This window comes from Homo sapiens, chromosome 13 (assembly GCF_000001405.40).
Source record: "Homo sapiens chromosome 13, GRCh38.p14 Primary Assembly".
Classification (NCBI taxonomy): Eukaryota; Metazoa; Chordata; class Mammalia; order Primates; family Hominidae; genus Homo; species Homo sapiens.
The window spans coordinates 22,203,310-22,225,822 of record NC_000013.11 but is presented as its reverse complement, the minus strand read 5'-3'; the positions used below and the strand labels follow the sequence as shown (position 1 = coordinate 22,225,822).

Here is a 22,513-nt window from a genome sequence, read left to right as displayed (position 1 = left end):
AGTGGGTCTGTGTGTGAGTGTTGGCACTAACCCAGCAGGCTCCAGCCTTGAGGGATGTTTCCCAGGATGTGCAGCCACCAAAGAGGCCCCATGAGAGGATGATTCCCTATACCTCTGAGTACCTTCACCCTAGAGAGCCCTGTTGTCCCATCCGTCTGTGGGGAAATGAGTGCTCCCTACCTCAGTACCTTGCCTGGGGAGTTACCTGTGATGGGCTCTGTGACAGACAGCAGAAACACGGTTCTGATCATCAGACAGCCTCCTCAGTGGTTCTTGAGCTGAGAACACAGCCACTGCTTGATAAGGACTGAAGGTACCACAAGCAATGCAGACTTCACTGCCGCATTAGCTGCCTCTGACCAGTTTTCTCAAGGTAACTGTACCAAGAACACAGAAGGACCCTATTCACCCTAAATCCATGCATTTTTGCAACTGCTTCTCCCACCTGGAACTGCAAAAGAAGCAAAGGTCCAGCGAGAAGCACCCAATGCATAATCCTTCTCTAGTGACCCATAAGGAAGTGGAAGCCATGGGGCTTACAGACTCACCATACCAGGCCAAGAATTGGCGTGGCTTGCAGAGCTCAAATCAGATCCACATCCATTCCTGGCCCGTCACACCCACATGCATGCTACCTGAATCCTGCACTACATCCCTCAGAAGCTTTAAAGCTCATGGTGAGCTTTAAAACCAACTCCCAGACCCCATTCCTAGAGACACTGGATTGAATCAGTACCCCAAACTAGAATGTGCAGACACTCAGAGCCACTAGGGCAGCTTATGGCCATCAGATGCTTATATGCCAGAAGGTCTAGAGATGACAGCCAAATCTTGACTAGTCCGTATGTCAAGGGATCCCAGGTACTAATTTTCATAGAGAAACTGCCACAGAGGATGCCACATACTCTGCCTACTTGATTTCTATTTGGAGGGCAGCACTTTGTAATGAAAATCATGTTGGGCCTGAATCCCCAGGTGTCGCTTTAGTCACCGGAAGTTCCTAAGCCTGCTTCTTTACCTGTGAAATGGACTAATACTTATGCAAAAGGTTCACTCCAAGAGTTAAATAATAGACAGCATATACAAATGCTTGGTAGCCAATAGGTTAGCTGGATGTTGGTCAACTGAAAGCATATTAAGTAAAAGAGAGGTGTCAGATACTTAGAAGGTTCAGTTTTTACACTTTGGTTTTGTTTGGTTCATTTATTGCCCATGTGTGAGGTCAAGGTCAAGCTGATAGGTTCCTGATTCCATTGCCCCTGGCTGGAATGTCAGCATCACCAGGGCAACAGTTGTGTCTGTTTTTTTCATGTGCCTAGAACAATGCCTAGAACATTACAGACACTCGATAAATATTTTCTGAATAAATTAATATGAAGGTAGACAAGTGACTTTGCCTCCCTGCATCTGGTCACTGTCCAGAGGAATCTGAGCAGTGTCCTGGCATCGTGCCTGGAGGACACTGACCATGGGGATGCCTGTGATGCTCAGACACAGCCCCGCATGCAGAAGATCCTAGAGAGGCGGCCCAGAAGCACCTCTCAAGTGCCAGGCAGTGCTTTAAGGCTTCTGGAAACATCCGATGTCATTATTTAGGGGGAGATTATGAAACAAAGCAATCTTAATTTTCTTCTATTGCTCTTTTTTGGGGCTTAGAGCAAAGTTAGTTCAAATATTTTTAAGCGGCTCTCATCACATAGGACTAAATGCCTTCAGATCCTTCTGTGATTCTGCAGGGAAGTTGTTTCCGGCTCTGTCATTTTCTGAGAAAAATTACTTGCCAAGGTGTCTCTTGCAGTGTGTGGCCTGGTATTCCAGGTGGGATCTGGTCTGAGCAGAGCAGTAACATCTGCCCTTAGACGGTGCCAGGCCCACTCGAAAACGCTTTATACAAAATCCCTCAATGAATCATCTGAGCAACCTACAGGGGGGTGGGTACTGCCATTATCTACTCGTGCTCTCACTTTAGAGAAGTAAGAACTGAGGCACAGAGGGTTGTTTGTTGTTTTTCATTCTTTTGGTCGAGGCCACACAGCTCCTAAGTGGCAGAGCTGCAATAGGACTGTTAAAAGAAAAACCTTAGCCAAATTAAATTTAACAGAGTTTAATTGAGCAAAGAACGATTCACGAATTGGGCAGCCTCTTGAACCAGAACAGGCTCAGAGAGACTCCAGCACAGCTGCGTGGTGGAAGGAGATTTACAGACAGAAAAAGGGGAGTGATGTGCAGAAAACAGAACGGAAGCACACAAACAGCTGGAATGGTTACAGCTCAGCGTTTGCCTTATTGGAAAACGGTTTGAACAACTGGATGCCTCTGATTGGCCAGAATTCAGTGATTGGCACAAGCGTAGGTTACAGTTTGTTTAAACCTCCATGTAGGTTATAATTCACTATATACAGAGAAATCTTTAGACTGAACTTTAAATATGTAAGGAGGTAGCTTTAGGCTAAACTTGCTTTAAGAGAACCCAGGCCATCTGGTGCCATGATCATGCACTTATTACTGAAATCCGCCTTCTCCCCACAGAACAGGACTGCTACCTCCCCTACTCTGGGTACTGCATGCCTATCCGTGAGGCTACATCACATCTTGGAAAGACAGAATGGCTTGGTTTAAAACACAAGACAGAGACTTTAAGAAACATCACATTGCCTCTCATTTGCTGTCTGTAGTACCTTGGCCAAGGGACTGGACTTCTCTGAGCCTCAGTTACCTCATCTGTAAAATGAAGATGGCATCCACCCTGCAAGGTGGGCCTACACAGTGAACAGGAGAAAATGCTCATGCTGTGCATGGTGCTCAGCGATGGGACAGTGTTGCTGTGGGCAGAAACAAGGAAACATGAGTAGAGCGCCCAGCTCAGCTGCTGGGCCCTGACAGTAGCTGCTTAATTCAGGTTCACCCTCTCCCCTTCTCCTCTTTCACTCTTGACTCATTTACCCAACAGGTTTTGTTTTGTTTTGTTTTGTTTTTGAGACGGAGTCTTGCTCTGTTGCTCAGGCTGGAGTGCAATGGCACGATCTCAGTTCACTGCAACCTCTGCCTCCCGGGTTCGAGCAATTCTCCTGCCTCATCCTCCTAAGTAGCTGGGATTAAAGGCACCTGCCACCACATCTGGCTAATTTTTGTATTTCTAGTAGAGATGGGGTTTCACCCATGTTGGCCAGACTGGTCTCAAACTCCTAACCACAGGTGATCCACCCACCTTGGCCTCCCAAAGTGCTGGGATTATAGGCGTGAGCCACCGCATCCAGCCCCAACAGGCTTTGCTAAGTAGTCTGCTGAAAAATATTCGCCCCATTAGGCAATTAAGCATTTATATTTTAAGACCTAAGTCTGGTTCTTATTTTTGTTTTCATTAAATTTTGCTCTGTGAGAATCAGCATTCCAACTTGTCATACTCTTCTTAGGTTCTTATTCATGGATCCAGCATAAAACTATACCTGAAACTTCATGCCATCTGCAGATTTGAGAATTCTACTGCTCATAGCTTTATTTATTCTACAAATTGTTTTAAAACCTTGAAAAATACATTGCTCACTGCTATATCAAACAGTATACAGCATCTTCTCCATTTCCAATGAATATAAAGTTGGCCATTATAAATTATTGGTTATGTTTTAGGGGTCAAGTGTCTGGTTCCCCAATCAGATTATACACTTGCTGGAGCCGCAGAAAAGTCTGTATGCATTCTCTGGTTTCACAGAGTACGTAATCAATACAATTTTACAGAACCAAGTATACACTGCTAACCGATTTGCCATTGAGATATCATCATTTGCTAACGACACTGGCCCTTACTTTAATCCGATGACTTTGCCTCTCATGCCTGCATGTCTGTAAGAATACTGTTTTCAACTTTACCCTGAACTCCCAGATCCCACAAAACATGGAAACAGTGCTTGGTACCAGCCAGGAATGTCAGTCTCATCTGCCAGGATATTTGTCTTATGTACCTATCAGCTAATATGCAATCACTCTACCTAGTCTTTCCAGGAACAATCTACCATAGACATCCTTGGAAACGCAAGCTGTTATTTTCACAAAATGTTGACCAAATCTAAACTTTGCAACACTTGCTTTCCAGGATAGTTGCAAAATCTAGTTCTTTTTCATAGGAGGACGTCAGAAGATTGGGAATTCATAAGCAAACAATTATTTCAATAATTGTCACTTCTGCCACGACCGCTGGTGGTAAAACTATTTTGGATAAGCTTGCAATATTAATCGCTCAGTTCCTCACCTATAAAACAAATGTGTTCCATCGTTCTTGCGTCATGGCTTAGAGAAAAAATAGATGATGTGAAAAGTACTTGGTTCCTGAGATGCTGAGGAAAATGCAGGTAGGTTCCGTTAGTACCTACACCTTGCTAATAGACAGTATGTTCTGTTCCACTTCCTAGAATTTAAAAATCCTTTGTATTTTCTGTTCTGATAGGGCCCAGTTTCAACGTAATTTGGATGTTTTTCAGTGAGTCATTACCTGTTGAAACTCGAGGGTGAAAAATGGAAACCTTCACACAATCTCAATTTTGTCAACTCAGATGACATTGCTCTAATTTTTGACATAAAACTTCTTTGGATGCAGTGGTGACAAGAGTGTTTCTTCACAAGCTGGGTCCCAACAATTACTGCTGATGCCAGATGAACCCAGAGAGGGAGCGCAAGAGGTTCTGAAGGCACACCTTTTCATACATCTTTTTATTTGAAGTGGCTGCACGATCCCCCAGCCCACTTAGTAGTCCCCTACCAGTTCTCCTTTTAATTAATAGACTTGTGAATAACCACAACTGCCTTGTGGGACATGCCAAACACTAAACAGATGACTAAGTTGCAGTGGGCAATCTGCTGAACACAGGGTGCCTTAATTTAAACCATACGTGGTGAAAAACGAAGGCACGGCAAACATGCAGCTCAGTGTATATAGCTTTTGGTCTGTTTCAAGTTAAGTAAGTCCCTGGTGTGCAGAAAGTAACATCCATAAAAGCGAAAGCAATGGCTCTGATTTATTACCACCTGTTAGCATGACTCTGACCTGCTTGAATGGGGCAGGCATTATAGTCCAGAAGGAGAATAGGGCTCAGGTCTGGGCAGGAGCCAAGGCCGGTGAGGGTGCAGTAAAGTCCGCTGGGCAGGAGCCCCAGCGAAGACTTCCTGCTGCGTGCCGATGAGCAGGTAACTGCAGATGCCTGTCGCAGGGTGGGCAGCACTCAATGTGCCGCCACTGTCATCTGGCCCAGTTTATGGACAAAATCCATCTCTTGGGGGCTGCAGGGAGGGGCTGGGGTGGCGGGTCGTTCATTAGAACCTGGCCGGAGGGCAGCTCCGATCTGTAAAGGACAGCTGTCTAATTAGATTTGCTTGTGTGTACTGTCTTAGCTTTTACAATGGGAATAGGCTACCCGGCCTTTCTAATTAGATTGTTAAACATAATAGCTGAATGGCACAGCAGTGAAGAATTTGCCCTTCTCTTTGTAAGCACAAAATAGGGCTCAGAAAAGATTCAGGGTTTTTCCAGCCCATTTCCCCCATCATTGTATCTGATGGTAATGAGATGAAGTTTATTTCTTTTTAAAAGCTCCCAAAGGAGCACAGGCCAGGTTGAAGTTCAAACTAAATGTCAAAACACACACAGGCAATACAGTAGCAAACTTCTGTTTTCCTTGGGCCTCTTGTTTCCCCTAATTGGTGCCTTGTTGGTAGTCTCTACCGAGAGACTGAGAATGAAATGGGATTGGAAATTGAATTACCCTGTTATCCCTCAAGGTGGTCTTCAGACCTGGGTTGAGAAAAATGAGTAGAACAGGGTGGGAAAGACTCACTTGCTGAGGCTCTGGGTCCAGTCTCCTGAGTCTCCTAGGAAGCAGCAGGAAGTGGAAAGAAAACCAGGGAACAAAAGAGAGGAGCGAGGAGAAAGACAAGAAGGCAAGGGGAAAGACAGTGGCGCTGGAATGATGTCATCACCCAACCCTGTGGGTCCTGTGGCTTGAAAGCCATTTTCATCCTCATCTTCCCATTGGAAATGACATTTTCTCTTTAAGGTCTGTGGTTCTCCAAGATTCCATCCTGCACCTCATTTCCCAGTTGTCATCCTACAATTGTCATCCTTCCCTGACGTTCATCATCTAGGGAACACTGATCAGACACACAATTCAGGTTTGATATCAAGAGGACCTGCACATAAGTTTTTATTTTTTTTACTGTAAAAGGAAATGTATTTCTCTGTGTCTGCTATGCTCTTTAGAATGTAAAGTGCCAGCATGATGCAACATTATCTTCTGTAGGGTTCATAGAAGTCAACCATCTGATGTCTGAAAAGCCCTCACAGCTTCAGCCACTCACTGAAGTTGTCCTTCTCTTTAGAAAGTGCAGAATAAGAAGATTTTCCTTCTTCTGAGGCAGCCACATCAACACTGTGTCCCCAGAGTCCCACCACCCAACAGACACAAAGTCTCTGCAGCAAGAAAATAATTTTCTTCTTAAATGCATTCAGGAAAGCAAGGAATGACCCCAGCAGGGCAAAGGACAGATTACAACGCTGAGATCACGTTTGCCATTTTTATTCTGTTTTGACATCATCCCAGGGAGATGACTACCTGGTTTTTAGGAATATGAATAATGAAAGCAGGCAATATATTACTCAAAACCAGCAACAATTTAAAAAAGAAAGAATAAATGAGTGGATAAATGAGCAATTGTCCACCTTCCTGAAGCATTTGAGCTGTTATTTTCCTTCTCCTCCTCTTGCTCGTTGGATGCCTTCCCTCTCTGATTGTGATCTTGAGATCTCTTTGCCAAGATTCAGCAGTGACTCCAGAACTCGGCTCTATTTATAGCCCTTTGTTCACTACACAGAGTTCAAACATTCTGTCTGTGCATTTGGGTGGTTCGACTGTGGGGACACACCCTGCACCCAACGAACACTTGGTTCATGGGTTACAAATCATAGCCTACAGGTGCATTTTTGTCTGGCCTGCACATTTATTATTTAAAAATTGGATCCAAATCCCTGGAGCCATGACAAATGTTCTCTGGATTGCCAAGCCTCACCGCCACCTCTGTATTAAGTCTGGCTACTTCCCATGGTCAGTTTATCTGCCCAGGTCCTGAAAGCCTTGAAGGTTAGGACTCCTTTTTGTCTCAGTCACTTTGTCCCACTGTCTGCCCAAACCTTACGACAAATGTATCTGCAGATTCACATGAGTATACCCTCAAAACTTGGTAAATCCTCCTGTGTAGTGATTCCCAGAAAACGTTTATTCTGTCAATCTTTGTAGTTGTTTTATAACTTTCCTTAAAACTCACTTCTTTGAGATGTTGCTAGGCTTTTATTTCCCATACACTCTATATTGAGAAGGATGATCAATGGAGAAATGTGAATGAAAATTCACTAAAACAGAGACAAACACAACTCTATCCCAGCAGGGTGAGCCATACTATGTCTCTCTACATGTTGCTGTGTTTTATTCAGATGATGGGTGCATGGATTGGGTGGGACTGGACCCACTTACCCAGTTCTATGTGATGCCCACCTAGAACAAATGATTACTATGAAGTACATTTTTCTAAAGTGATGAGAATAAATAGCATTGTATGGAAATTGTTTAAAGAAATTAGAATCATCTCTTCCTTATATCATACAAGTTTTAAAAAATTGATCCATAAAATCAGCACAGACCCTGACCCCCGCTCTAAACCTTTAAATAAAAGAACGATGTGCCTGCAACGAAGACACCTGTGCAGAAGTACAGTTGTGCAGTCATGGCAAACCCAAATACTGGTTTTGTTTTGAAATGAGAGATCCCTCTGCATTCTGCTGCTGTGTGATGTTTCTCATTCCATTCTTCATTCTGCACACATGGGTGACTTTAAATCAGTATTCATGGAAACAGCTCTAAAAGGTCCTGAGACTGAGAAGTGGATTATGTCAAGGACTAAAATTACTTGAGAACTGTTTGATCATGCAGATTTTGGAGTATGATCAATTTGACACATGTGTCCATGACATGAGTGTGTGTGCGTTCTGTATTCCTGCAGCAAACATGAGATGTGAGCAGAAGTTGCTCCACACGCTCTATATAATGTTTTATTTAGTTTGGAACAGGTGTTGCAAATAGTGTCTCAAATATTACTAGAAATGCTCCATCACACTCACATTCCTAGCAATCCTTTCCTTTCCTTCTAAAAGCTTATTGACAGCTGATTTTGCTCCTTGAATTTCTAAGAAAATAACTTTCCATCTATATGTGAATGCATCGTTCTCATTTTTCAGGCGTAAGTATCAGATAATGTGGCTGTGTGTGACAAATGGGAGTTGGAACAGAGGACTTAGCAAAAAATTGGAAAAAAAATGCAGGTAAATCTTTCCTTAGACTTACTCTATTTTTTTGTCCAATTCTGGAATGAGTTCTGGAAAAATATTCCTGAAATTAAAACATCATGGGATGAAGTTGGTCTCAGATGACTCAATGTTGTATTTTCCCTCTATCTCCTTTCATTTCGAAAGTAATTTTATAAAAAGAAAAAAAAGAATTAGAGGCTAAAATCCCAAGGATTGGTTTCTTATCAATTCTTGCAGGCATGAAGTCCAGACTTTTACCTAAGTAATGATAAAGGCATTGGAATATGTGATGGCTTGATTAACTCATTTAGAGCGTAAAAAAATGCTATTATGAGACGGGCAAAAAGAACCTCTTTTACCCTTTCCCTTTACGTTATTAGTACAAATAGGACAGCTGAGACCCCACACAAAGACTAGAGAAGACCTGTAACCCCTGTAAGTGTGCAGGCGAACACTGTGACATTAAAGTCCAAGGAAGTTCTTGGCTGGCACTGCCTGATCCTTTTCCTCTCAGTCACTCCCATGGAGCTGCCCAGTGGCGTAGATGCCAAAGCATACTTTTTTCCAATCCCAAAGCATCTCTTCTCTGTAGCCAAACTGACAGGGACAACAGTCATGATATAATCTTACACAGAAAACAGGATGCTGGCAGAAATATGCCTTCTGCAGAGACGACTCTGGGACTTTGAAGTTCCAGCTCCCAGCCTGTTAAAGGTCACACAGTCTCAGAGGGCAACACAACCAAAGGTAGAATACTAAAGTTAAGAACGGCCTTAAGAACCACCAACAGGGCTAGGCACGGTGGCTCACGCCTATAATCCCAGCACTTTGGGAGGCTGAGGCGGGCAGATCACAAGGTCAGGAGTTCGAGACCAGCCTGGCCAATATAGTGAAACCTCATCTCTATTAAAAATACAAAAATTAGCCGTGGTGTGCCCCTGTAGTCCCAGCTACTCTGGAGGCTGAGGCAGGAGAATAGCTTGAACCCAAGAGGTGGAGGTTGCAGTGAGCCAAGATTGCGCCACTGCACTCCAGCCTGGACGGCAGAGAGAGAGACTCTGTCTCAAAAAACAAAAACAAACAAGAACCACCGACAGGGCCAGGTGCGGTGGCTCATGCCTGTAATCCCAGCACTTTGGGAGGCCGAGGCGGGCAGATCACGATGTCAGGAGTTCGAGACCAGCCTGGCCAGCATGGTGAAACCCCTTCTCTACTAAAAATACAAAAATCAGCAGGGCATGGTGGCATATGCCTGTAATCCCAACTACACAGGAGGCTGAGGGATGAGAATCGCTTGAACCTGGGAGCTGAAGATTGCAGTGAGCCAAGATCGCACCACTGCCCTCCAGCCTGGGCAACAGAGTGAGACTCTGTCTCAAAAAAACCCCCAAAAAACAAACAAAAAAACCCACCAACAACTTGTTGGAAGCCAATGGAAAGGAAGTTTATGGTGAACAACAGTACTGTCCTTCACAACAATGCTGTCCTTTCATGCAAAAGGCTTCCTCAGTAGGGGTGCTGTTTTCATCCTGCTCCATCTCACTGCAGTCTTCTTATGGGTCCCCCAAAGTACAATAAGTACGTGTTGTCCCCGCCTTGCAGGGGCAGCCAACTACAGTCCACGAGGTAAGAATGGTTTTTACATTTTTAAATGATCAGCGGAGGGAAACAAAAGTTGAATAATATTTCATGACATGGAAAATTACAAGAAATTCGAATTTCAGGTTTACTAGAACACACCATGGCCATTTTGCATCGTCCAGGTCTGTTTTTCTGCTACAACCGCAAAGTTGAGCCACTGTGACAGAGACCCACAAGGCCGCAAGGCTGACATGTTATTACCTTGACACTTGCAGAAAAGTTTGCAACCTGTGATGTATTCCATTGCCAAGCCACTGGTGAGAATTCCAACACAGCCTTGATTCCCTAACTCTAACCCTCACCCCCACCCTCACCCTAACCCTCTACCCAACAAATATTAAACAAAATACATAGGCAGCCTGTTACCCTGGCAAACAATTCTGCGAGGAAATAGCAATAGGTCAGGAGCTGAGATAAATCCTTCTAGCATATGTGGTGGATATTGGTGCCCCAGGCAAAAAAGTTTGGTGTGCCTCTGTCAGTTACAGAACACTGGGGCTGTACTGTTCAGACCCAGGAGAAAAATCTTTATGTGGTATATTCTTTTTGCCATAATTAAGAAGAGATGCAGAGAGCGATCAGAGCAAGATGCCCCAATAAGAAACAACGCAGATTTTCCTGAGATTTTTCACAGAGATGCCTCAGTAGGTACACATATGGCATTAGCGAAGTCCCCAAAGACAAACGTCATTTACTATTCACTCATTGATTCATGAAACTAATGTACCCATTTGCTCATTCATTCATTCACACAGCAATGTTTTTTTTTTTTGTTTTTTTTTGTTTTTTTTTTTTGAGATGGAGTCTCACTCTCTCGCCCAGGCTCTGGAGTGCAGTGGCGCAATCTCGGCTCACTGCAAGCTTCCCCTCCCGGGTTCACGCCATTCTCCTGCCTCAGCCTCCTGAGTAGCTAGGACTACAGGCACCCGCCACCACGCCTGGCTAATTTTTTGTATTTTTTTTTAGTAGAGACGGGGTTTCACCATGTTAGCCAGGATAATCTTGATCTTCTGACCTCGTGATCAGCCCGCCACAGCCTCCCAAAGTGCTGGGATTACAGGGGTGAGCCACCGCGCCCAGCCACACACAGCAATTATTTTTTATGCACAGGTGATTCATAGATGACATAGTAAGGCCCCTACCAACAAGCAGCTTAGAATCCATTGAAGAAAACAGACACATGAACTAAATAAAATAAAACATAAATATTCCTAAATAGAAGAGCACAAGTGTAACACACCAGAATCAATTCCCTGCTTCTTTGTCTAACAATGAGTTCCTACTCCCTGCCTTCCCCAGGCTAGAAAAAAACTGTCAGACAATACCAGCCTAAAAACAGTGCATTTGAGAATTCAACAACTCAGGGGTAATTCAGAACAAACAAGAAATGTATCAGCAGAAGTCTAGAGAGGGAGAGGCTGGAGGGATGTTCATACGCACACACCACCCCCATCCCCTAGTTCCCCTTCAACAGATGACAGGAAATAAACTTTTTTTTTTCCTTAGCTGCTATGCACATAAAGAATATGCACGCAGAACTAGGCCTCAGGAGAAAAGTCGTGCTGGATCTTAATTCATGGTATGTGGTTAAACATGTTTTCATGTTGTCAAAGATTAAATAATTAGGAGAACATGGTCAAGATCAAAAGGCAGCACCATGTCACAAGCAATTAGGAGGCTCCTACAGCTGTGACAACTAGGGATCCCCACTGGTATGGTACCTGCTTTAGCAAACCATGTGGGCGCAATATGAAGTCTAGATTGGGCACTTCAGGACTTTTCATTTAAATCTCATTAAGAGGGTTGCAATCCAATAAATACAAAAATAACAGCTAAAATGGGTTTTAAGTTCAGCGCAATAGAAGAGGGGAGAAAAAGAAAACGCAAGTCAATTGACTGTAAATGAAAAATCTTTTCTGGAAAAATTCTAAATCGAAATGTATCACACGTCTTAGAACGGATCTCCAACCCAAGATACATGCAAAATCCTTTTTTCAGTGTACGTTCTTATGAAGAAAGACACATGTTGATGATTCAAGTGAGTTTACAAAGGGGCGTGTAAGTCATCATAGCAATATTAAGTGGGTTTTTTGTAGTGATCCTATCTGTTGCTGAATTTTATGGATTAGAATGTCAAAGCGTGAACCAGAGAATCTCACCTGAGAATCCCTCTACAGTAAAATCCTTATGAAAGTGAAATTTGGCAATAGGGAAACAGCACGAGTAAGTCTAAAATGAAACATTAAAATGGTCTGATTTTCAAACCTTAAAGTTAAAATCAAGCTTTAAACATCTCTGTGGTCTGACCTGGGCACCAAACAGTTTTTATCCCCAAGTCTTCCAGAGTGTGTGGGGAAGTCTTCCATTGTCTAGGCTGGGGATCCCATGCAGGAGAGCCACACACGCTGAGAGGAAGAACTGAAGAGAACTGCTAATAGCCCCAGATGTGGCCTAGTCCACACAATCCAAACACGCGGGTCTGCCCTGGACCCAGCTCGGTTCAGGAAATCACAGAATTAAATGGCGATTTTACTCTGTGATTTCTCACCATAAAGCTTCTATTAAAACAATGTTCACATGGTTAGTTTAAAACATTTCTGTGGATAAGAAAAGCCTTGTAACCCCCAGGCCAGATTATTTGTGGATACCACTAAGGTCCCATCAACAGCCCAAATGGCTCTTATCTGCCCTTGGCAGGACCTCATTTGGCCCCATTCTGAGGTCCTCTCATTCCTCCAGCATCCTCCCGGAAGTCACAGAGAAGCTTCTCATCTGCCTTGATATCCTGCACTTGGGTGGGGCTTTGTTCGAGGCATGAACTGCTCTCCTTTTAGACTATCATCTCTAAGAAAATAGCCAGGCAAGGAAGGACTGCCCTCATCCCAGGCCACACGGACTGTGGCCCTCGAATCACAACACAGCTGCTGCTGCCCACTTACATGTGACTGAGTGGCCACTCAGTCCCTGCACTAAACTCAAGGCTGTCGCCTGCTCTGTGGCTCTTCACTGCTCCAGAATTCTCTCCAAGTCCACTGTGCCTCTTTAGACAGCGGCCATGTCCCCAACGCTACCCACTCCCTGACACCTGCCTCTGTCCTCCCCTCCACTTGGCTTGCCTGGCACACCACTGCCTGGGGCTCCCGGTCGCTGTGCTCTGCGTAACCTGCCTTTCCACAACGAGGATACTTCAGCCCCTCATGGCATAGCTTTTAGAGTTTTGTTGTTTTTTGTGAGACAGAGTCTTGCTCTATCGCCCAGGCTGGAGTGAAGTGGTGTGATCTCGTGTCACTGCAGCCTCCGCCTCCTGGGTTCAAGTGATTCTCCCGCCTCAGCCTGAGTAGCTGGGACTACAGGCGTGCGCCAGCATGCCTAACTAATTTTTGTATTTTTAGTAGAGACAGGGTTTTGCCATGTCGCCCAGGCTGGTCTCAAACTCCTGACCTCAGGTGATCCACCTGCCTCGGTCTCCCAAAGTGCTGGGATTATAGGCATGAGGCACTGCACCCAGCCGAAGCTTTTAGTTTTTGCACAACTCTGTCATCCCTACAGTGTGCACTCACCTAAAGGGGCACTGGCTCTGAAACGACTCTCACAGCAGGTGCGGCTCCATCATCCTGCAGGCCCTGCTGTCAGAGAGCCGCTCCTCCCTGCTGGCTCCTCTCCTAGGGTCCCACATGGTGACTGCCTTAATGTCCCCTGACACCTCCACACAGACACAATGGAAACGTCTCCCCTGACCCTGCTTCTGACTCACTCGATGAGTCTGAGATATTGGAGCAGAGATGACCACAAAGTTAATGTAAGCTGACGGTGCGATGTAACCACTGAAAACGCGAATGCTGCCCTAAGCTGAAAACCCTCGTGTATGGCACCCGGATGGAGAGAAGGAAAAGTCCCATGCAGTGCACCGCCCGTGCCCATGCCCACTGCAGGGCGCCATGCTGGGCTCCAGGAAATACACTTTTCGAGGACAATTTGACTATGATTAGTTTAGAAGGAGGTAACTTGAGTGGTGAGGAGCTAAAAGCAAGCCTGTTTAATGAGGGATTGAAGGAACTTGGGGTGTTGACAATGTGGAAATGAAGAGGAAGCATGATTCGGCTCTCAAAGAGGAGAGGGTGCCAAGTCTGTGAAAGATCGCCTGGTTCTGTGTGGCTCAAATGGGAAACCCAGCCAAACATCTATCAAATTCAACGTATTAGCAATGTTTTCTATTCCTTCTCCATCCTTCTCATCTTTACCTAACCCCACTGTTTTTCATTCTTTTTGTTTCTAACAATAAAGCTGCCCATGAAGGGACTCTGTGGCCTGGAAGGTGGTGACCTCCCTCTAACTGGGACTGTTCAGGCACGGGTGGACAGCATCGTGGAAGGGCATTCAGGAAAATACCAGCTTAAATGAGGCAGGAGCCTGGACTGGAAAACTTCTAACATTTGCTCAAGAGCCCAGATCCCAGGACCTGAAGTGTGACTCAGAGCAGCGTCCCCAGGCTGGTGTGCAATGACACATTTCAGAATGTGTCCTTTCCATGGTCTATAAGTATGTTCCTCACAGAAAAATTGGAGACATAGAAAAGAAAATGAACCACTATTAAATGTATTAGGAATGAACACAGTTAGCGGGAGACATGAAGTGTATATGTATTTTTTTCTCTTCATTTTTCATTTACTGTAAATTTTATTAATACAGTCTTCTGACCACCCCACCACCCAGGAGTTTCCTTTTGAATTTGTATCTACTGAAATGCATTGTGTTGAGTATTTTCTTCCAATGCAAGTATTCCTAGGACATTTCAAAGCAGAGTACTCCACGGGCAGGAAGGCAGCATGCGGAAATTCCAAATAAAAATCAGTGAGAAAGGCTTCCTCCCACCAGAAGGTCTTGCATAGGAGACCAAGCAGGGAAGGGAGCCGCAGACACCAGCAGTATGATTTTGCCCATGACCTGGTACTTGTGACACACCTTTAGTAGGTGACAGTGAATGAAATAGCTATTTTTCCATAAATCCAAAATCTTAATCTGAAGATGGTGCAGGTTGGGGGTGCGGATCCACACGGACAGGAAAGAAAGGCGAGTTAGCTCTGAAGAGGTCACACGGCCTCACAGGCTGGGCAGGCTGGACGCTGAGGTGCCCTTCCAGGCATATGGGTACTCCTTGGGGCTAGAATGGGAAGCCCTGCTGGTGTCTGCTCCCATCTGCAGGGCATGGGGGTGTGAGCAGAGAGAAAGAAAGGTGCACAAAGCTCTATGTTGGGGGACGCCAAAGAGAGACAGAGCCCCACACTTCAACCCTCCCCCATGCCTGCTCCCTCCACAGGAACTCAGAAGGCCAGCATCCTAAGGCCACATTACCAGGGGCCCCCGTCAACCACCGGGGTTCCCAAGGAAAAAGGATATGCAGAAACTCACCCTGAGGCCTTTGCTAAATCCTCAGACACAAAGAAAGCTAAATGAGAGACAAAGTTTGGCGGGAGGATCAGAGAAGCCCGGGCTCCGTGGCAGGTTTTCTCTTTCAGGCCATAGGCAGGCCCTGGGCCGGCCCGCCCAGCCCCTGTGGAATGTTCTGGGGGCTCTCTCTGGCCCTGGCTTTCAACTCTGCTTCTGAAGTTAGTCTGAACAATGGAAACAATTCCTTTCCATGATTAAAATCTTCCACCCTCTAAAATTAGTCCCAGGAAATTAGAACACCAGTAATTGTAGGAGGCTACACAATCCCAGCAATTTAAAGTGGAGTCATTTACGGAAATCACCAAAGTCCTTAGAAGATACTTCCTCAGTAGTTTTTGTCCTATAACTTGAGGCCACTAAAGGGTCATCAAAGCTCAATGGCTCTCAGTCTCCCAGTTATTAAATCCATTTCAGTTAAGAGATAACATGGAATTGTTAGCAAAGGGAAATTGTGACATAGTGGTCTTTCCTCATACAAAGGGAGATGGATTAATGTGTACCTTGTGTCTATGTGTGTGTGATTAGAGACTTAAGAATTCAAGATTTTGCCGTTTAAGTTTTCTTTGTCATTATTTTTTATTACAAATAGAAAAACTGGGATCAGATTTTCTCCTTTTCACACTGTCCTTGTTTAAAACCTAATCACAGGAGCGCTTCATATAGCAACACACAAGCATAGGATCAATTCTCCTAGAAGACTCACAATGCAGCCTTGCAAGGGAGCCATGGGTTCACCAGCTCAGTAAACAACGGATCTGCGTTAAGCTTGTATGTGTTTTTCCTGAATGTGCTGCATTTTCTTATGTGAATCTTTTCTGACTTACAAAAAAAAAAAGAGGGCCTGTGAAAAATTGCTGACAAGGGGCAGATGAATGAACCCTGAAACTACATTTCCCATCACTAGAACCGGGAGTGCTTTCACACTGTTTGTGGAGTTGAGGCCAGAAAATGGTGACAGATATTTGTAAGGGGTTCAACCTCGACTCCTTCCATAGAGTTGCAGAAACACACTTCAGAACACCCTTCCCTCTCTCCAATGCCCTGCCATCTCTTCCTCATTCCCCTATTTCCACCCTCACCAATGGTCTCACCTTCTCTTTATAAGATGGTTGTTTCCAAAATGGCAGCTGCAGGACTGAAACCCGAGCACGGTTACCTCACCCAGCCCCAGCCTACCTTTCCAGGGCATTTCCTTGCATGCCCCGGTGGGGGCCATATTGTTCAGTGACTCTAAAACACCCTCTGTGTCCTAAATGTATGCGTTCATCTATCCAACAAATATTACTGAATTTTTTCTTTTTTTTTTTTTCTTTTGAGACAGAGTCTCGCCCTGTTGCCCAGGCTGGAGTGCAATGGCATGATCTCAGCTCACTGCAACCACCACCTCCTGGATTCAAGCGATTCTCCTGCCTCAGCCTCCAGAGTAGCTGGGATTACAGGCATGCGCCACCATGCCCAGCTAATTTTGTGTGTGTGTGTGTGTGTGTGTGTGTATCTTTAGTAGAGATAGGGTTTCACCATGTTGGCCAGGCTGGTCTCGAACTCCTGACCTCGTGATCTGCCCACACTGGCCTCCGAAAGTGCTGGGATTACAGGCGCGAGCCAAGTCTTTGCCCTCCGAGAGCTAATGACCTAGAGGAACGGACACGACCAGCCATCATATTACAGAAGCAAGTATAAAATTACAAATTGTTCCTAGTACCAAAAGCAGAGTGACAAAGTGCTGTGAAAATCCACATAATTGAGTGCTTTTACTCAGTTTGACTGGGCAGGGAGCTTCTTGGGAACACAACAAGCAGCTAAGGTATCAGAGAGGTGTGGACAGCTAAGAAAGGCAGGCAAGCCAACAGTATCCCAGGCAGAGACGATGGCTGCGCAGCCTCCTAGGACGTCCTTCCCAGGCATCCCCGCATGGAGAGCCCTGCTTCACCTTGATGCACCATTTGAATGACACCCTTTAGGAAGCCTTCCTGGATTCTTTCAAACCCCTCCTTCTTTCCTCCAGCCAATCACTGAATAAGTGCATACTAAGCACCTACTGTGTGTCAAGCACTGTGAGGACAGCCGGTGCCATGGGAAGAAGACAAAGCCCTTGCCTGTTTGACAATGGGGGTTGCATTCTTATTCAGGTATGATGAGGCCAACTGCTCAGGAGACAACACCATTGGAGAGTGTGTTACTCAGTTCCCAAGAGGAGGGGGCACTCCAAACCACACAGGGCCACATGGGAACCACCGGCGTCGGGAGCAAGAGGACATGGTGGGGAGGAGGCATTACTGTGGTTTCCACGGGAAGGAACAGGCAGAGCAGGGTGGGCAGGCTTAGGACTGGCTGGTTTGAATAATTTCAGCAGGCCCTGGTATAGGGCTGTTCCTAGTTGTCTGGTCCCTAACCTTGGGGTGATCAGAGGAATAGTGGCCCAGAGGATGGGAGCCTGACGGAGGAGATGTGGGGTGTGGGCTCTGGATTGGTTGGTTTGCAAAAGAGGGTGTGTCTGCAGGCAAGTGTTTTAACACTACAGACACTGGCTCACCCTGGGAGGGGCAGCCTCTCAGGGTCCACAGGACCCAGATGTCAAAGCATCAGAATAAAAAGACACAGTTAATGCATTGCCGTTGAGGTTTAGCTGTTTACCTGGGGAGATGAGCAAGAGATGACCATGCAACACAGCTAAACACACAGCCGGGGCCCCTGGCCAGCCTCCGGAGGGATGGGCTTCTCTGTGGAAGCTTCTCTCCAGCCCTGAGGGGTGGACAGGAGTCAGTCAGGCAAACAGGACATCTAGACAGAGGAAGCACAAAAAACAGAGACAGAGGAGGAGGGGAACAATTCAGAAAATGAAAGAAGCTCAAAATTGATGGAAAGCCCAAGCTTGTGGGAAAAAGCGCCAGTAAGAGAGAAGGCTGTCAGGACCAGATCGTGGAGGGTGGGGTTTAACCCAGAAGCTGGCTTTATCCTGAAGGCAAGAAGAGCCACAGAAGGGTTTGATGGAGGTAAGGGATGTGCCTGGCTTTACATTTTGGATCATTTGGAAGGGAATGAGAATGCCATAAACACGTGTAACTCGCAAGGCCACTGCAACCATCCAGGGGAGAGATAGTAGTGGTGGTAGAGATAGGGAATGAACAGATGTAAGGGATATGAGCAAAGAAAAATAATGGGATTTGCGAGCTCAGGTGAAGGGGCAGGGATGACCCCACCTCTCTGCAGTACCAGCTGGCAGAGCGTTCACTACCACAAGGGATGCCAAGGCAGCCTGGCCCAGCAGACAGCAGGCAGATTTTTTACTCAGATCCCAGAATGAGGGACTCATCCCTTATGGATTGAATTATTTTAGAAAATTTACATTATACCATGAGTGTCCATGGCACTGGGATACTGTTCACCTCAGGACATCATTATAAGGACTGATTGAGATAATGGCTCTGAAAGTGCCGGCTCTGGAAAACACTGCTCATGTGTTTTCTTAATTTCTTGCTACCATTATTATCCTTGTGCGGCCCAGGCCTCTCTATGCCCAGAGCCAGAGTGACTAGCCACGGTATGCATATGGTACACAAAGGAACCAGCGGTCCTCGTGGCCACAAACATCTCTTCTCCCTCTCTTCCTTAGGAGCATTGCACAGCATTCAACAGAATTTATTCTGGACAGTATTTCACCCCACTAAAAGATCATACTCTTCAGGATCCCAGGAATCTAGGTGTAAATTCTGGCCAGTGAGATTTAAGTGCAAATGGATGCAACTTGCGGAAATGTTCCTTGAAAGGAGAAAGTATGACATTTTTCACTACTTTATTCACACTTTTGATCAGAACTCAAATGAGATGGCTGGACTTCTTGCAGCCACTTTGGACTATGAGGAGGAGGTTTTTTACCAAGGCATCAGTCTGCATTCCACATGGCTACAGAGCCACTTCCAAGTCCTGGACTCCTCTGCTCTGAGCAGACTTACCTGAGGAATAAACGTTTTCCTATCCTGTTTAACCTACTGTTTTTCAGGCCTTTGTAACTCACAGATAAATCTAATGTGAAGTGATACATCTGATATCCTAATAAGCCATCAGTATTTTTACCCTAATACAAAGAGTGTGAAGGAGTAAAATAGGTTATGTATTCATGAAGAATGTGATCATAATATCTATACGTTTAAATGAGGGGAAAAATACCTGTTAAACCTTTAAACAATGCATTTCATTTACTTTGTCAGACTCCTCTAAGATGAAATTGAACATTTTCTCAGAAAAATAATACTAAAACAATCTCACTTTTGGTGTAAAAAAAATCAATATCCACTTTTTTAAAACTATCTTTACTACAAGACTAGTTGTAAAAAAAAAAAAAAACTTTAATTCAGCTCCTATTAAAAGTATTTTAGAGCAAAGCTGCTCCAGAGAATTCTCAAAGAAACAGGAAAAACAATATCATTTCTCTGGATCTACTTGAAAGAGAATTGGGTGACTTTTACTTGCCCTTTCTTCTCAAAACAAATTTTTGGACTAAGACAAAGTACGGAAAATTTCTATGAAGTATTTGATACTTCAGTGAATGAGAAAGCAAGCAAGCTGTAAATGCAGTGCAAAGTGTACATTCAGGCTTCAGGGATACAAGAAGTAATAAAAGTTTTGTGTTGTTGTTTTTTGTTTTTAAAGGCAAGCACTCACTTGGAACATTTAAATAAAACTTTAAAGATAGCGAGTAAGACATTGCCATTTTCTAACAAGAAACATTCATCTTCTTGTTAGATGAGGGAACTAAATTGTGTCCCTCAAAATTCAAATGTTTCTGAACCTTAACACCCAGTATATCAGAATAGACCTGTGTCAGGAGACAGGGCCTTTAAAGAGGCGATTAAGGTTAAATGTGGTCATTAGGATGGGCCCTAATCTAATATGACTGCTGTCCTTATAAGATATTAGGGCACAGACACATATAGGATGACCATGCGAGGACACGGGGAGAAGACGGCCATCTATAAGCCAAGGAGAGAGGACACAGAAGAAACCAGCCCTACAGACACCTTGATCTCAGACTTCCAGCCTCCAGAACCTAGAGAAATACATATTTTTTTGCTTCAGCCTTCCAATCGGTGGTACTTTGTTAGGCAGCTCCAGCAAACTAAGACACTACCTCATGCTGTTTCCCATCCTAGCTACAGTTGCAAAGCAACAATTTTTAACCATGCAGACAAGATTCTGGAGCAGAGATGAGAACAGCCGCTGTCTTCAGCAGATGTTCTGCCATGACACCTGCCTAGTCAGTAAGCCCACTGACCACTCTGATTGGATGGTTCAGTTCTTCTCGCCTCTCCTCCAGCGATAGTCACCTGAGTCCTAATTTACATAAAAAACTTGGAGTCATCAAATGGGAATTCCCACTGTCTCCAGACACCATGCTGACAATTCCATTTAATCTGTCCCCCTTTCCAAGGCCTGTGCCTTGGAGTTTGGAACTTTTTCTATTCATTGACTCTTCTGTGTCTTCAGTGCTCACCCCATGGCTATCAAGTGGCTCCTGGTTCCTCCCTGCTCTTTCATAACCAAGCTTCTTTAAAGATCTTGGGAGCTGCCATTTTTGTTTCTTAGCTCCCTCTCACTTCTCAGCCTGCTCCAGCTTGGTCCCTGCCTTCATTGCATAAGTTCACAACTCTTGCAGAGCTTGCAAATAAGCTCCCCGTCGCTGAACCCAGGAGACTTGTCAGTCCATTCCCAGCAGCATCCAATGTGCTTCACGTCCAATGCTTTCTCTCCTTATTGTCCGGTTTCCCCATTTTTCCCGGCCTTTCCTTCTCTGAGTCATTTGCAAAGTCATCATCTTCCACCTGGACATTTAATTCTGAAGGTCCTCAAAGGTTAACTCTATATCTGGGCCCAAAATTCTATCTATGCTGAGATAAGTATCAAATTGAGACCTGCAGTTCAGCCCTTCCTCTGTCATTCATCAGGGAACCACACAGTAACCTCACAGACCGAACCCCTGATTCCTCCTCCAGTCTCCAGCAATAACCCGGGTCCCCTCCCAAGCTTATCCGTTGTCTGAGGTGGTGCCATCTGCAGTGTTTTTGTTATTCGGACAGAAAGCCAGGAGTCAGCCTTAGAACCTTCTTCTCCCTCAGTCTCACCTCCGAACTATGACTAAGTCAGTTTTTCCTCCTACCATTCAGTTTCTTTCAATGCCACAGGGGTCCTTCTCCTGGAACTCCCGGCTTCTCTAGCACAGGCTATTATTCCAGCCCCCTCATCCTGCTCTCTCCCCAAGAAAGAAATGTTTGAACTGCAGCTGCAATGTCACCTTCTCTTCCATCCATCCCCAACACCCTCCCTTCACAATCTGCTCTCTACACCAGGAGTGAAGTCAAAATGCCTGGACTCACCCCTACAGGGTGCCACACCAATAGCCCCAGCTCACCCCCTGACTCTTCTCATGGATGCCGGCAATTTGGGCCCAAAACATGGGAACTTTATTTTACTCTCACAACTCTAGTTATATTGTATCGATTTTAAAGAGCTCTTTATGTAGCAACAGTATTAATTTTCTGTTACAGATTTTGCAAATATTTCCCCGGATTTGGGCTTTTAGGACTGAAATCGCCATATTCTCTATGCTCTTGCAGAAGATGGCAAATAATACATCAGGAGTTACTTCTGATGTTGCGGCCTCCTCAGCAAATGGAAGCACCTGGCCTGCCTCACCTGGTGAATCCACCCAGGATGGACCGTGCCTTGGAGAAAAGGAGAGAAGCTGCAGAACAACCCTCAAAGCCAGCAGCCTGATAAACTACATTTCAGAAACAACCACCTTTTAGAGACAGGGAATAGCAGACATTCTTTGTGATGAACGCACTGAAATTTCAGGCAAGCAGCACTACAGGGTTTCTTAATTGAACTTTTGTGAATTTTATTCAAAGCAGACTATAACAATATGGTTCTTGATTGCTGTTATTTCTCTACCTCGTGAAGAATGTGGGCCTGGTGGAACTGGCTATTGTTCTGCATATCACATGCTTCCCCATTATTTCTCTTTCCATGTCCACACTGAAATTTGGTCGCAGCGAGTGGGCAGGTAAAGGGACCCAATTTTCG

The 22,513-nt window shown here is 45.0% G+C and overlaps 1 long non-coding RNA gene across 1 annotated transcript in view, besides 1 other annotated feature; it reads right to left on the bottom strand.

Annotated features, from left to right (window-relative positions):
* LINC00540 (long intergenic non-protein coding RNA 540) overlaps positions 1–15,538 on the bottom strand; it is a 66,237-nt gene extending 50,699 nt beyond the window's left edge. The window contains exon 1 of the long non-coding RNA NR_103810.1: positions 15,395–15,538. This is a non-coding gene — a long non-coding RNA (long intergenic non-protein coding RNA 540). The remainder of the gene's footprint in view (positions 1–15,394) is intronic.
* Positions 13,474–13,653: a silencer, noted in NCBI's record as "fragment chr13:22786309-22786488 (GRCh37/hg19 assembly coordinates)". NCBI's record gives its function as "represses an EF-1alpha promoter that drives an FKBP-Casp9 reporter gene in an ReSE screen in K562 erythroleukemia cells {active_cell/tissue: K562}" and the evidence as "EXISTENCE:reporter gene assay evidence [ECO:0000049][PMID:32094911]".
* Positions 15,539–22,513: the final 6,975 nt, after the last annotated feature.